Source organism: Homo sapiens, chromosome 11 (assembly GCF_000001405.40).
Source record: "Homo sapiens chromosome 11, GRCh38.p14 Primary Assembly".
Taxonomy (NCBI): domain Eukaryota; kingdom Metazoa; phylum Chordata; class Mammalia; order Primates; family Hominidae; genus Homo; species Homo sapiens.
The window spans coordinates 65,786,915-65,801,420 of NC_000011.10; the positions used below are offsets into that span (position 1 = coordinate 65,786,915).

Consider the following 14,506-nt stretch of genomic DNA (forward strand, 5'->3'; position numbering starts at 1 on the left):
GTTATTTCCCAACGCATGCGCCGTCGCTCCCCGGGCCACCCCAAGCTAATTAGATCAGATCACCGCCCCCCACCCCCACCCCCCCCCGCCCCAGCCACCAACACACACCGCCGCGAGCCAATAAAGCGTGAACCCGTCCGTCCGGCTCGCACTTTAAGACTTCCCGAGCGGCGGCGGGGACGCCAGTCGAGCCGGGAGACGCTTACCTGCCGCTTCCCCGCGCCGCCCGGTGCACCTGGCCGCAAGGGACCTCGTTCTCAGGGAAGACGGCGACATTCCGCGGAGGTGGAACCGCCGCGCGCCGTCCGGGCTCGGACCTTCCCCGGAACGTGGGGGCGCCTTAGCGACTCCTTCCCTGTTGTGCCCCCGTTCCCGGCGTTCAGCCCGGCCCCGCAAAGGTGGGACGGCTCCCGGCTTCAGTTACGGAAGCGGCCCGTGTCCAGCGACGAGGGTTCGAAAATGCCCCGCGCGTTCCTGGTGAAGAAGCCGTGCGTCTCCACGTGCAAGAGGAACTGGAGCGAGCTCCCCGACGAGGAGCGCGGCGAGATCTACGTGCCAGGTGAGGCTCCAACCGCCCTCCGGCCTGGGGCACCCGCGGCGGCGTCGAGGCTGCGGGCGGGCGGGCGGGCGCAGGTCCGCGGAGCCAGGCGGCAGGCGCGGTGTGGGCGCCGGGGCTGAATGCGGCCGCGGCCTGGGCTGGGTGGGCCCGCGGCTCTCGACCCGGGACTCGGGGGGCGGGGGCGGGGCCGGCGGAAGAGCGCTGGTCGGGGCGGGGGCTGCATGGTGGAAGGGGAGCCGCTCCCAGGGCCAGGGGGCGCGGAACCGCCTACCCCCACCCCCTGAACCGCGGCACAGAGGAGGCAGCGGGGTGTGTCACCGCTCAGGCGACCCTCGGCTCCGACGTCGTAAATCCAGAAAACCGGGACTCGCATGAGGCGGGAGAAGGCACTGGAGCGATGCCACTTTGGGGGGCGGGGAGCGGGCTGGAGTTTCGGCCGAGATTTGTGTTAAAAGCTCAGAGCTTCAGCCGCTCGCACAGGTCCTTCCTCCTCCCCCACAACACTGGTGGCCGGGTCGGAGTGAGGGTCGGGCCGGTGGGGGGCGTGGGCCCCCAAATTTTCGTTGGGCTCCGGCTGCTAGTCCCGCGCAGTGAGCCGAGACGGTGGGACAGGCGCCCGCTGCGCCCCGCTTGCCCTTAAAGCAGAGGTGGGATCGGGTCTCACCTCTGCTAGAAACGCACTTCCTTCACCTTGCGGAGGGCACAATTGCATGGAAAGCAGCTGCAGGGAGCCCACCCCACAGCGGAGGGCCAGGCCCGGGGAAGCTGGTGTACCCAGTTATTTTTGGCAGACGCCTAGACAGCGTCGACTGTGAGAGTTGCTTCTTCCTCCAGCGGCATCTTCCCCTGAACGCCCCAAGAACACTCCTACCCCTTCTGTCCTCCCCCACCCCCAACAAAGTCTTTGGTCTGGAGAAAGCCTGCTTCCTTCCGAACGCCCCCTCCCCAGGCCTTGGGGGCGGGGCGTGGACGCTCTGAACGCCCAGCCCAGCCCCTCCGAGGGGGGAGGGGAGGAGTAATTAACCAACTGACTTTGACCCTTGATCTGCAGACTCCCTGGCACCGCCCCAGGCCTTGTAGGAAAGTGGGGAAATGAGGGCAGCAGTGAGGGGCCCCGTGAGGGCTCTTGCTCAGTTTCCCTCCTGAATAAGCTGTTGGAGACAGTGTCCTGGTGAGGTCTTTGTGGCCTGACCTTCCAGGACCCAGTGGCCTGTGGCGCTGGCAGGATGTTTCACAGCTTAACCTGATCTCAAGGGGACCCCTCTTCCACCGTTCCTTAAAACAAGGGAATGTGCCAGAAGACCCTGGTAACCCCAGTGGGGAAACTGAGGCAAAAAGGGAAGTGAGTGGCCTCCCCACCTGAGGCAGATTAGGGTGTGGGCTCAGAATTCTGTGTATAGCTTCTTGCTTGGCCACACTCCCTGGTGAGCTGGCTGGTTCTCTACCTGGGGGTTGGTGGGGGCACGCAGAGGGCCAGAGCCCCCTCCCCGCTCCGCCCTCCGCCCTCCACCCTCACCTGTGTTTGACTTGCTGCTTAGCTGCTCCTTGGGATCTGATAAACTGAACTTGGACCGTGGTAAAGGTGAGCTGAGCCCTGAGCCAGGCTCAGTGTGCTGTTATTTTTAGTTTTATTTCACATCCCAATCAGTAACAGATCATGTGTTGATTTTTACAAAGGACAAAGAAATTCCGTTGGTTGAAATCATTGACTTCTTTTTGTCCTAGCTATTTTCTCTGCCACACTTCCAGTGGCCACAGTGGAAGTGGCAGGGGAGACGTATGCCCCAGGGGCTTCCTGTCAGGTGCAGGAGAGGGCCTCTGGGTGGTCCAGGCCACCCGCTGGCACCATCCAGGTGAGGGAGACCTGCCGGCTTCTCTGTAGGCTCCTCCAGGATGTGTGGCGGGAGTCCAATCTCAAGGATGAAGGGAGAATTTGTCCTCATCCCCATGGCAAGGAGAGAATCCTGTGGGTCAAGTAAAGGGTAGAAGATAGAGAACTTAATTTTACCTCTGAAAGTCATGTGGCCCACTGGAGAGTTTTCCCACAGTTTTTGGCAATGAGAAAGGGACTGTCCTCAGTCCACGCTCGGGTGCCTCAGATGGCTGGAGAGTGGGGGTGCGTTTTGTGCTGGCCTGTCCCCTGGCTGGGCCATTCCATCACCAGCCAACCATGACCCCAGAGCCAGCTGGGCACGTTTCCGTTCACCTCACAGATTCCTGGTAAGTTGTGACCAGCTAAGCGTTGACCCCATTTCCAGTGGAGGGCCCAGGAATGTGGGAGTGTTTGAGTTCTGACCTTCCTGCCAGGTTCCTCTGAGACCCTCAAAGCCTCCCAGAAGGTTTTGGGAGAAGGTTTTACAGGCCAGAGACACTGGTCCCCAGCCCGACAGCACTGATTCCAGGGCCCCAGTTTGACAATCCCATCAGCCTCTCTCCCCAAGGCAGAATTCTAGAGCTTCTTACTCCCGGGGCAGAATCTTTCCCCTGGGAAGAGGTGAAGATGGTTGCAAGCACCCTGGAGATTTGAAAGGATTACTGGCTAGGAAGCCACCTTGAACCGCTCCCCCACCCACCCCCCCAACCACCCTCCCCTCGCCTTCCTTTGTTATGTCAATATTGACTTGGAGTGACAGGGAGTAATGCTGGTTCCTTGAGGATAAACCTAGGCACCTGTACCCAGGGGGTAAATTCTACCTCCTGGACCCACCAGGGAAGGGCTCCAGGAACAGGGTTGAAGCTGGTTCCCCCGAGCCCCACCCCATGCTGAGTGAAATCTCCAGGCCAGGAAAGGACCTGAGGACAGACTGAGGCTGGAAGCTGGAGTCAAGGAGCATCCCAGGGCCTCTCCCAGGCCTCCCACCACTGCTTCCCAGCCTCCCCTCTGTCACTGGGCTGGCCACAGTCTGCTCTGCCACTCGCCTGGTGGACACTCGAGCTCAGGGAGGCCAGCAGGCTGGGCGGTGGGACACTGGAGCTTCCTTCAAGGAATGTGGTCCAGCCTGGCTCTACCACTAGGTAGTGTGGGCACTTGGGCAGATCTCTTTCCAGCTGGTCAGGAAAGCTGAGAGTGAGCTTTGGGGCCCAAGGATGTGTCGGGAGTGAGGATAGTGAGAGCTCCGGCCTCTGATGGGATGGTTACCCTGTAGTCATTCCTGGGCCGTGTTTGGCAGCGAAGGAGATGTTTGCTGTGCTTGCCAGGGAGCGGGGCTGGGAGAGTGGACAGCCACACAGTGGACAGAGACAGAAGAGCAGCATGGGCCTGGGCAGCCAGCTAGATGAGACTCCTACCTGTCCCCTGGGATCCTGTCACCCAGGCTGCTAGGCTGTCTGTGCTGAGCTTGGGTGTCCCGAGGCGGAAACCTGGCAGATGATTTGTCTCAGAAAGAACAGGTGAGGGCGAGTCCTTTGGCTGCAGGGAGGATGGCGAGGGAAGCTGGCCATGGGTGAAGTCGGGGCTCCTTTGTATCATCGGCCATTTCAACAAGTCCTGGATGGAGTCCCACAGAGGCACTGGGCCTGTGCCTGGCTGGGTGGGGGCTGCAACAGGAAGCACTGCTCCCACTGTTCTGGGCGGGCACCCTGGCGCGAGGGCCGAGGCACAGTTTTAACTTCTTTGTGGATACCCAGTGAAAAGCGGTTGGGAAAGAGGGAAAATACACTGTCTGAGGCGACCTGTGGCAGTTCACAGCGTGGAAACAGAAGGCCAAGAGACTGGCCCATGCGTTACCGGGCCGGCCTGCCTCTGGCTGGTGCTGGGTCCTTTTGGATGATTGCTAGCTGACCTATGGGGACCAGAGGAGATGGGCACGGGGGGCACCAGCCCTTCCTGATAAGGGTGCAAGGCTGCTGAGAACCAGCTGCACTGTGCTGACATGCTGGGCCCCCGTCTCACCTTCAGAACTGGGCTGACCCCCATGTTCTGGGGCAGCACCCATGTGGTCAGTGGGGCCCAGGAGGGGGTCATCCTTGCATCTGCTTCACTTACTCTCCCCAGAGAGCCAGGGACAGGCCTCATGCCCAGCCCTGTCCTGAGGCCTTGGATGGGGGGACCCGGCACTTTCCCCAACATCTGGGCCAGCAGCTTTCCATCCAAGAGATGGAGGACTTACAGAGGCCAAGGCAGGAGACAGGCCTCGATGGGCAGCTGCCCTGGACACAGTCCCTCGGTGTCCGTGCCTCTGCTCTGAGCCTGGCCCTCAACATTGTCCAGGTAGAGGCAAGTAGGGCCAGCAGGAGGGGACCCATAAGCCCCCAGGCAGTAGGAAGAGGGCCAAGCTAGTTTGGCCTTGCCATACTCCACAGCTGTGGGCGGGTGATGAGTAGTCATAGCGCCACCGCCTTGCCGGAAACATCTAATTAGGGACAGAGAGCACCACAAGCAGGGCCCAACCAGTTCTGCTTCCTGCCTCCTGCCACTCAGCGACACTCAGTGCCAGGTGGCACGCCAGTGTGCACTCCCTGTGCGTGTGGCCGCAGAAGGGACACGCTCATGGGGGTGGCAGGGAGACAGGTTTGGCAGGGTGGGTGGGATGAGGCAAACATCCCCACCCTGGCAGCGGGTGGCCGCCCATCCAGCCTCCTCTGCCCCTCGCTCAGGGTGGAGGTGGACCAGAGAGCCAAAGCAGGCAGGCCCACTCCCTGGCCCCGGTCTCCCAGCACCAGCTCAGCCAGGTTTGTGTGGAACAGCAGAGGTGGGCAAAGGACACAGGTCTCCTCCCAAATGCATGGATCTCAGGACCCTAACCATGAGCCTCCCCTCTCGTGGAGCAAGGCAGCCCAGAGCAGCCACCCTTGTGGGCTCAGCCCGTCCCTCACCTGCTGTCTCCTGCCCTGCTGTGGTGCAGCTGGGGGACCTCGCTCACACCATCCAGTACTAACAGGCAGAGGAGGGTAGAGGTTCCTGTTTGTCTCCACCTGGATTGAGAAATGAAAACTGTCATCCAGCTTTGAATTCTCAGCCAAGGTCTCCAATAGCTGGTGAGCCTGCATCAGAAGTTCACCATCGCCCCTGCCCACCCCCAGCCCTGTGGGCACAGACAGCTCCTGCGGCAGGGGAACAGGCCTGGGTAGACAGCCAGACCCCGACGACTTGAGCCTGACACTCAGACTCAGAGAAAGGTGCAATGCCAGCCCAGAGGCCAGGCCGGGGCCAGGCGCTGGTGAATCAACCCTAGGAATGAGGTGGCTCATTAAAGGCCCCCGGACAGACGGACGCCAGTGCCTGCAGGACGGGTTCTGGGCGGCGGCGGGTGCATTCTTCTCTCTCAGACCTTTGTTGTGTTTTGAGGGGGCGAGAGCTGGGGCCTCTCCCGAAACTTCAGCACTGTCAAACGCACCCTTGCTCCACAATCACATTTCTCTGCTTCCCCCATGTCCCTGTCCTCCTGGGAGAAGAGGTGAGGGCGGCAGCCCTCCTGCCCAGGCCCAAGCCCGTTCTCTGTCTCGCCGGCTGTGGGATGGCAGGGTGCACAGGGCCGTGCTCCTGCTTCTGCAATCCCACATCAGCCTCCCTCGGAAGCTCACTTATCCTTTTGGTCATAGGCCCCTCGTGATTTTTCCTTCTGAAGCTTGGAAGATGTCCTTAGCTTACAGGTTTCAAGTACTGAGCTCAGGCTCTTTGGAAGAAAAATATTAAGTTGAAAAATTTGCCCCGGCTCTGTTGGCTTTGAGAATTGCCTGTCTGTGTCCCTCGAGAGTGCTCTCTTTCTGGTCCTCTCTAGTCAGCACTGGGCTCAGGGTCTGAAGCCAAGCCTCCCCGGCCCGTTCGGTGTGAGGTGTCTGCCTCGGGGCGTGGCTGCATCCAAGGGCTGCCAGGTATCGGTGCTGCCGCTGCTGAGGGAGCCCAGCCCGACATGCCCCGGCGAGCGGTCCTGCCGAGGGGGAGGGTTGCATAAGCCTGGGCAGGCTGCCGAGACTGTTAGGCTGCATCCACCTGCGGCTCCCTGACCTCCTCCCTGTTCCACCCACCTGGCCTGTTTCCCTGCAGAGCTGGGACCAGCTGGGAGTGGAGAGCCTGGAGCCCTGGGGTGCAACAGCAGGGACCGGCCTGCTGGGGTGGGGGTGGGAGGCAGGGCTAGGACCACCCAAACCCCCAAGGCCAGCAGCCAAATCTGTTGGAGAGGCCTGGAGTGGCCCAGACCACCAGGGACCCTTCTGATGAGGCTCCAAGAGCTGTCCCTGGGCAGAAGGTCTCCACTGGTGCCCTTTGTCCCTGCAGGAGAGTGGATGAGGCCTGGAATTCAGAGGGACCAGCCCAGGTGGGGCAGGCAGAAAACTCCGGAGGGATAATTGGCAGGGCAGTTCGGTCCTCCCAGTTCCGCTAAGACACAAATTACTCAGCGGGCAGTGGCGCTTGGCTGGCATCACCTGCAATTACCTTAATAGGGCGGGAAGGCGGTGCAGCAGTGGTGGTCGGGGCAGCCCCGCTCTGCTGCATGCCTGCGATGGGAGGGACGGAGTCTCCAGGTTCCAGCCGTCTCATGGCTAGGGAAGTTTCCAGAAACCCGCTGGACCCTCTCTTCTCCACCAAGCCTCTCACCTGTCTGTTCTCTCCCCAGTCAGCCTGGGCTTCTGCCCACCACAGCCCTACCGGGAGCCGGAACCCTCTGTGGCCGAACCCCCTTCCTGCCCGCTGGCTTTGAACATGAGCCTTCGAGACTCTAGCTACAGCATGGCCCCCGGGCCCTGTGTGGTGGCCCAGCTGCCCTCTGAAGACATGGGCCACTTGACAGACCCCCAGAGCAGAGACCATGGCTTCCTGCGCACCAAGATGAAGGTAATGCCACTCGCGCTGTCTCCGAGGGCCGGGGGCGTGCATGTAGACCTGCGTCCAGCTCATGAGACATGGCACAAATGAGATGTAGGCAGAGACTGACCTGGGACCTGGGCCAAGGTTTCTGCAGAGGAGTGCCGATCTCCGGGCAGACGGCACAGAGCTGTGGTCTCTGGGAGGTGGGCACCACCCTCCTCAGGGACACTGGGGGCTGGCATCCACGTCTTCCCAATCTGCCAGCCTGTGGCCCCAACTTCTGGATGTCTGTCAGCAATGCCGTCCTCACCCACAGGTGACCCTTGGGGACAGTCCCAGTGGAGACCTGTTCACCTGCCGTGTCTGCCAGAAGGCCTTCACCTACCAGCGCATGCTGAACCGCCACATGAAGTGTCACAACGACGTCAAGAGGCACCTCTGCACGTACTGCGGGAAGGGCTTCAATGACACCTTCGACCTCAAGAGACACGTCCGAACTCACACTGGTAAGTGGAAGCCCACGGCTGGGAGGAGCACGCCGGATCCGCCTGGCCGCGGCCGTGCGGGAAAAGTCCAGCACCCCCTGCTCTCCCTCGGTGACGGGCAGCCTGGGAGGGCATCCCGGAGCTCAGGGCCAAAGTCCTCCTGAGCTCATCAGTTAGGAGTTTTGATTTGAGAGTCACTCGGGAAGTTGGTGTTGGACAGGCCTCCGTCCATCCCTTGGCCCTAGAGGCAGGGGTCCTGTCCTTTCTGTGTCTGGAAGCAGCCGACAGCCTCTGAAGTCCCTGCCAGGTCTCTGATGCTGGCCCCTGTCCTCCCCACAGGCGTGCGGCCCTACAAGTGCAGCCTGTGTGACAAGGCCTTCACGCAGCGCTGCTCTCTGGAGTCTCACCTCAAGAAGATCCATGGTGTGCAGCAGAAGTACGCGTACAAGGAGCGGCGGGCCAAGCTGTACGTGTGTGAGGAGTGCGGCTGCACATCTGAGAGCCAGGAGGGCCACGTCCTGCACCTGAAGGAGCACCACCCTGACAGCCCGCTGCTGCGCAAGACCTCCAAGAAGGTGGCCGTGGCACTACAGAACACTGTCACTTCCCTGCTGCAGGGCAGCCCCCACCTGTGAGTGGCTCGAGCCCTGGGGGTGCTCCTGGAAGCCCCAAGAGCATCCAGGATTGCCTCCCAGCTGCCTGGCCAGCCCACCCTCCTGCAACCTCTCACCCGAACACCAGTGATCAGGACTGGAGCCCCCGTGCCTTGGTCTCCCCCCTGGGCACACGTGCTCACTCAGGCCCAGCAATGACCTCTGCTCATTTTTGCATTTTTGACTTATGGGCCGAGGCTGTTCTGAGCCTGGGAAGATGTACCTATGTCAAGAGAAGGGATGAGGCCAAGGCTGCCTTCAATTAGAAGCAGCCGCCCACAGAGACAGGCACTGTGTGCCTGGCAGCAGGACTTCCTACCCAGAGGAGGTTCGAGCTAGGATCCCACTGCCCCCGCCTCTCAGCACAGGGCAGGGGCTGCAGGTCCCCAGTGGACATCAGAGTCAAAAGCACTGGCAAAGGGTACCCCTGCAAACAACTGTGGTGGGGGCTGGCAGCAGACCCCCCACCTGGCAGGGCTTCTAATGCTCAGGGTTCTGGAGGGCTCTGTCCTTCCGGCAAGGAGAGGCACACATGTGTGCCCAGCCGTGTGTGTGCGTGTGCTTGTGTGTGTGCACTGCTGTGTGTGTGTGCACGCACAGGAAGCCTTTCCACATATCACCTCATTTCTAAGAAATAAACTACAAGGTGCCAAGAAGGTTTTATTTCCTTTTATTTTTTAAAGATGACAAATGTACAGATGTTAATATATTTTTGGTGCCAATGGCGATGTTTTTAAGAGTGGGATGGAGCTGGCTTTTCTCCATTCCCGTGCGCTTCTATTTATCCTGGACATTTCAAACCTCCTCTGTGCCTTGGCTCTGGGCGGGGGCTGCCCCAACCCACCCCCGTTCTTTGTACGTGCTGAGACAGCCACTAGAAGATCTTCCTCCAGCGGCGCCCTGGACGGCTGCTCCTGCGAACAGCCCATGGCATCTTCTGCTCTTCCCTCCCGGCTCTGCCCTGCACATCCTGTTGAGCCAAGCCCCAGTGACCCGGAGAGCTGGCCTGATGCTGAGAGTGTGTCCTCCTGGGGCTTTAGGGGGCAGGAAGGTGGGACGAATGACGATGCCCATCCACTACCTGAAGCACTAGGACACTCTTGCAGGGCCAGGCTGGAAGACCGGCCCTTTTCTTGGTTGAGTCAAAAGCCTTAGCACAGTGGCAAAAAATGGGACAGAATGATGACCAGCACCTCAGAAACTTCCAGAGGGAGGAGAGGATTTGATGGCTACCAAATTGTATCTGTTGCCTTTTTTCTGACTTTTTCACCTGACCAGGCTGGGGTTTGGAGTGGCTGTGGGGAGACCCGTCCTGGCTGGCTGGCTGGCTCCCTTGCTCCCTTGCTGCAGCTGGGAAAGGGGTTCTGGGTGTAAAGAGGTGTGCGTCTTGTGGGCCAAAGGGAAAAACAGGCAGGGGTCAGAGCCAGCCTGCCAGAGGCAAATGCAAAAGAGGTCCCCAGAACACAGCCAGCTGGGCAGCCCCTTAAAGCCAAACCCCACCTGAAGCAGAACCACTTTGGCCTCCCCTGCCCAAAATGGGTAGTGTCTACACGTCCCCGGGCTCAGGCTCAGGCCCAGCCCTGGGCTGACCTGAGAGGAAGGCTCCTTCCTGGACTGCCCTCTGAAATGTGTATAGATTGATTCTAAAATCTCTTGTTTCACTTGACTTTAGAGTGTCTGGGACGCTGCTGTATTCTGAAAGTCACATAGCACACAGTAATGTTATCTGGAAGCTCTGTTTTTGTTTACATTTCTGTATCCCTGGGTTGACTGCCAATCCGAGGCCGTCATGAAGCTCTGTGTTGTCTGTTTTATTTTATAACCTTCCTCTCAACTATTAAAATTAGAGATCTAATGTTTTCTGTGTTTCCGATGTTTTTGTCTTATGGGCCCCTTTTTCCCCATGCAGAGAAGTAATGGAAACAATTGACACATTCTTATCCAAACCCTTCCTCGTTACGGTCACTGGGGGGCCCTGGTCAAGACAAGAGCCTGGCCCAGATAGCTTAAGTGACCTGCCCAGGGCCTCAGACAGTCACTGCCTGCTGAGTCCTGGTTTAGCATGCTCTGCTCTCAGCAGCGGCAGCAGCGGGGCGCCCTGAGCTCCATCCATCAGCCTCATACTACCCTGCATCTACCTCTGCCAGGCCGAGACCGCCAGGCTTTATGTAGTCACCCGGGGATCCAGTCTTGGCCTCCCAGGACCCTCCCAGGGTTAGACCACAGAAGGAGCCACAGTCCCAAAAAGAGGGTGCAAAGCTCACATCACTTCTGGTCAGACACTTAGGGACGGCCACACTCTGTGTCCACACACCTAGGGACAGCCATATGCTGTGTCCATGCACCTAGGGATGGCCACACCTGTGCCCACGCACCTAGGGACAGCCACACTCTGCATCCAGGCACCTAGGGACAGCCACACTCTGTGTCCACGCACCTAGGGACGGCCACACCTTGTCCACGCACCGAGGGACAGCCACACCTGTATCCACACACCTAAGGATGGCCACACCTGTGTCCACGCACCGAGGGATGGCCGCACCTCTGTCCAGGCACCTGGGGAGAGCCACACCTGTGTCCATGCACCGAGGGATGGCCACACCTGTGTCCAGGCACCCAGGGACGGCCACACCTGTGTCCATGCACCGAGGGACGGCTGCACCTGCACAACCCTTGTGCTGTGCCATGCACACTCAGAAGTGTGTTATGTATATTGGCTCACTTGACTCAACTCGCTTCTGAGGCAGGTTCTGTGACCACCCCCACCCTGGCAGACAGAATTTGGGTAGCTGACACAGTGTCTCACAACTGACCAGCAGTGGAGCTAGGCTGCCACCCGCCTGGCCTGGCCCAGGGTCTGCTCGGTAACTGCTCACGCTATGGATGGAGAAAGCAGGAAGGGACGTAGGGTCCCTCTAGGCAATTCAAACTAGGAAATTTGGAGCTTGCCTGGCTTTCCCTATCGCTTACCAGGATTGCTCTGGGAGACTGATCTCTTTGGGGGCCCTGGTCCCTGGGTCCCAATTCGTGTTTTCCACCATGGCCTGGCCAGATGGATAAGAAAGCTACAGGTCTGGGACGCTGGTCTTGTTCCAGGAGGCGTGGGAAGGGTTGGTACCAGGCGCTGTGAGGCGAGGGAAGACATCCTTTTCCAAGGCTCCCTGTAGCCGCCCACAGGACTAAAAAGGGCCCCAACCAATTTTCTGTCTCTAAATAGCTGGCCATGAAGGATTTCTCTTATCCAGAGAGGCCTCTCTGTGAAAGGCCAACTAAATCCCATTTCCTATCCCAAGACGTGCATCCCGCTGTTGGGAACCCAGGGGACTACCCACCACATGAACTTCAGGAGGCAGGACAGCCTCCAGGAAGCAGGGGCAGTGTAGGGGTGGAAGAGGCTCCCTCTGAGCCTCTGTACTCCCTCCCATGCCTCAGATGAGCTCAGGTGGGTGCCGTGCCCTGTGCCACCCAGAAGAGCTCTTCCCTAGCAGGGCGGGGCCAGTCACATTTCCAGGCCCAGAATATTCTCCAGGCTCTGTTGGATTGTAGCTGTGAGGGAAATGAAAAGTGTACAGGGCTCTGCTGACTGGGAAAAAGAGAGGAGATTATCTAACCCAGAACAAATGGCGTGGCCAAACTACAAACACTATGGAACCCAAAAGCAGTCTTTTGCATCAGAAAGAACAAAGGCTTCTTGGAAGAGGTGGGTCTGCGGCTGGGCTGGAAGAACAGGAGGATGTGAGTAGAACAGAGGAGGAGGTGTTTCGGGGAAGGAAAGTGGGCTCAGACACCAGGGGAGATGAGCGAAGCCAGGAGCGGGGTGGAAGGCGTCCCTGTTTCCACTAAAGCCGATGCCTCTTCATTCAGCCAGTCACACTGTAGGCATTTTTCTAGTCCCGCCTAGGTGTCAGGAAGAACTGGTAACTATACAAGATTCTGAGACACAGGAGAACTGGGGGATGTAGCCAGACAGCCTTATCAAGGATGAACGGAGAGTCCTATTTTTATACCTAAAAACAAAGCAACCAAGGGCAGGGTGGGAAAAGCTTTACAACAACAGTAAGTGCCATTAAGATTTATATTCTATCTTGGAATATTTTCCAATATATATATTTTTTGAGACGGAGTTTCGCTCTTGTCGCCCAGGCTGGAGTGCAATGGCACGATCTCAGCTTACTTCAACCTCTGGCTCCCAGGGTTCAAGCTATTCTCCCGCCTCAGCCTCCCGAGTAGCTGAGATTACAGGTGCCCACCACCATGCCTGGCTAATTTTTCGTATTTTTAGTAGAGACAGAGTGGTTTCACCATGTTCGCCAGGCTGGTCTCGAACTCCTGACCTCAGGTATTCCACCCATCTTGGCCTCCTAAAGTGCTGGGATTACAGGTGTGAGCCACTGCACCCGGCTCCCCCTTTTTTTTTTTTTATAGTGAATATATATTATTTTTACAATCAGTTGTAAGACAATTTAGGTGTTTTCAGTGACCTGAAGTTCAACAGGTCAACAGGAAAATGGGGCGGTCCCTTCCCCTGCCACCCAAAAAAGAGCTAATGATGGCTGAGAGTGGCGGCTCACGGCTATAATCCCAAAACTTTGGGAAGCCAAGGCAGGCAGATCGCTTGAGCCCAGGAGTTAGAGGCAAGCCTGGGCAACATAGGGAGATCCTGTCTCTACAAAAAAATTTTAGAATTAGGCCGGGTGTGGTGGCTCATGCCTGTAATCCCAGCACTTTGGGAGGCTGAGGCGGGTGGATCACCTGAGGTCAGGAGTTCCAGACCAGCCTGGCCAATATGGCGAAACCCTGCCTCTACAAAAAATACAGAAATCTGCCAGGTATGGTGGCACACTCCTGTAATCCAAGCTACTCAGGAGGCTGAGGCAGGAGAATCGCTTGAACCCTGGAGACAGAGGTTTCAGTGAGTCGAGATTGAGCCACTGCACTCCAGCCAGGGTGACAGAACAAGACTCTGTCTCAAAAAAAAAAAAAAATTAACTGGGCATGGTAGCATGTTCCTCTAGTCCCAGCTACTCCTGGGGCTAAGGTGGGAAAATTGCTTGAGCCTGGGAGGTCAAGACTGCAGTAAGCTGAGATTGCACCACTGCACTCCAGCCTGGGTGACAGCGCAAGACCCTACCTCCCAGAAAAAAAAAAAAAGAACTAATGTGATTTTGGACAATATCAGAAGTGTGGCACCAACAGCTAAGGCTGCCTCCCTCTGCTTGGTCAGGCACCCATCAGTGGTGCAGGGGAAGAGCAGGGTCTCAAATCAGGAGCCTGGTCTGAGCCTAGCCCTCTGTCACTGTCTGCGTGATCCCAGGCGAGTGACCACCTCTGTTTCCTCATCTATAAAATGAGGTGGGCTCCTAAACCCAAAAGTTCCAGTTCCTCTCTGCTCTAAAGACTCCATAAAAACTTTTTTTTTTTTTTTAGGCAGAGTCTCACTCGCTCTTGTCACCAGGCTGGAGTGCAGTGGCTCAATCTCGGCTCACTGCAACCTCTGCCTCCTGGGTTCAAGCGATTCTCCTGTCTCAGCCTCCTGAGTAGCTGGGATTATAGGCGCCCGCCACCATGCCCAGCCAATTTTTGTACTTTTAGTAGAGATGGGGTTTCAGCATGTTGGCCAGGCTGGTCTTGAACTCCTGACCTCAGGTGATCCACCCGCCTTGGCCTCCCAAATTGTTGGGATTACAGGCATGAGCCACCGTGCCCAGCCTCATAAAAACTCTTGAAGACACTTGCTGGCAAACTGGCAGAGGTGAGGAGGCTAAAGGCTGGGAGGTTGCCCTGCAGGAGGGGCCAAGGGCGGGGAGGCCAGGAGAGCAGTGCAGGCAGCTGGAGACTTCCAAGCACCCCATGCCCCAGCTGCTGGGAACGGCTGGAGGGCTGCTGGCCTGGCTGGGGGTCATTTGCTGGGACTCACTAAAGGGACCTAATTCTGGCACTGCAGGTGGGACACAGCCACAAAATCTCCTAGCCACAAAATCCTCTAAGGTCAAAGTGCGCTGGCCGTGATTTCCAGGCCTGCTCATCAGATCCAAGAAGGCAGAGCCAGGGAGAAAATGCT

At 58.3% G+C, this 14,506-nt stretch overlaps 2 protein-coding genes and 1 long non-coding RNA gene across 3 annotated transcripts in view, besides 4 other annotated features; 1 reads left to right on the plus strand and 2 right to left on the minus strand.

Moving 5' to 3' along the window:
* The first annotated feature begins 148 nt into the window (after nucleotides 1-148).
* OVOL1 (ovo like transcriptional repressor 1) lies at nucleotides 149-10,300 on the plus strand. Its single transcript, NM_004561.4, has 4 exons — nucleotides 149-559; nucleotides 7,117-7,334; nucleotides 7,624-7,813; nucleotides 8,132-10,300. The coding sequence occupies exons 1-4, from the start codon at nucleotides 460-462 to the stop codon at nucleotides 8,425-8,427; spliced, it is 804 nt and encodes a 267-aa protein (NP_004552.2). The 5' UTR covers nucleotides 149-459; the 3' UTR covers nucleotides 8,428-10,300.
* Nucleotides 2,087-3,954, minus strand: OVOL1-AS1 (OVOL1 antisense RNA 1). The gene is made up of 2 exons (NR_108085.1): nucleotides 3,848-3,954; nucleotides 2,087-2,523 (listed from the first exon to the last, which is right to left on the minus strand). It is a non-coding gene; the product is annotated as an OVOL1 antisense RNA 1 (long non-coding RNA).
* LOC124902693 (uncharacterized) overlaps nucleotides 2,087-14,506 on the minus strand; it is a 44,799-nt gene continuing 32,379 nt past the window's right edge. The window contains exons 5-7 of the mRNA XM_047427980.1: nucleotides 5,375-5,473; nucleotides 3,848-4,170; nucleotides 2,087-2,523 (exon numbers count right to left, since the gene is read on the minus strand). The gene's annotated coding sequence lies outside the window, so the exon portion shown is untranslated. The remainder of the gene's footprint in view (nucleotides 2,524-3,847; nucleotides 4,171-5,374; nucleotides 5,474-14,506) is intronic.
* Nucleotides 4,604-4,763: an enhancer, noted in NCBI's record as "active region_5004". NCBI's record gives its function as "activates an Ori minimal core promoter by ATAC-STARR-seq in GM12878 lymphoblastoid cells {active_cell/tissue: GM12878}" and the evidence as "EXISTENCE:reporter gene assay evidence [ECO:0000049][PMID:35858748]".
* Nucleotides 4,944-5,103: an enhancer, noted in NCBI's record as "active region_5005". NCBI's record gives its function as "activates an Ori minimal core promoter by ATAC-STARR-seq in GM12878 lymphoblastoid cells {active_cell/tissue: GM12878}" and the evidence as "EXISTENCE:reporter gene assay evidence [ECO:0000049][PMID:35858748]".
* Nucleotides 8,826-9,326: an enhancer, noted in NCBI's record as "H3K4me1 hESC enhancer chr11:65563211-65563711 (GRCh37/hg19 assembly coordinates)". NCBI's record gives its function as "activates a minimal SCP1, AML or CMV promoter by ChIP-STARR-seq in naive H9 embryonic stem cells {active_cell/tissue: H9 hESC(naive)}" and the evidence as "EXISTENCE:reporter gene assay evidence [ECO:0000049][PMID:30033119]".
* Nucleotides 10,906-11,429: an enhancer, noted in NCBI's record as "H3K4me1 hESC enhancer chr11:65565291-65565814 (GRCh37/hg19 assembly coordinates)". NCBI's record gives its function as "activates a minimal SCP1, AML or CMV promoter by ChIP-STARR-seq in primed H9 embryonic stem cells {active_cell/tissue: H9 hESC(primed)}" and the evidence as "EXISTENCE:reporter gene assay evidence [ECO:0000049][PMID:30033119]".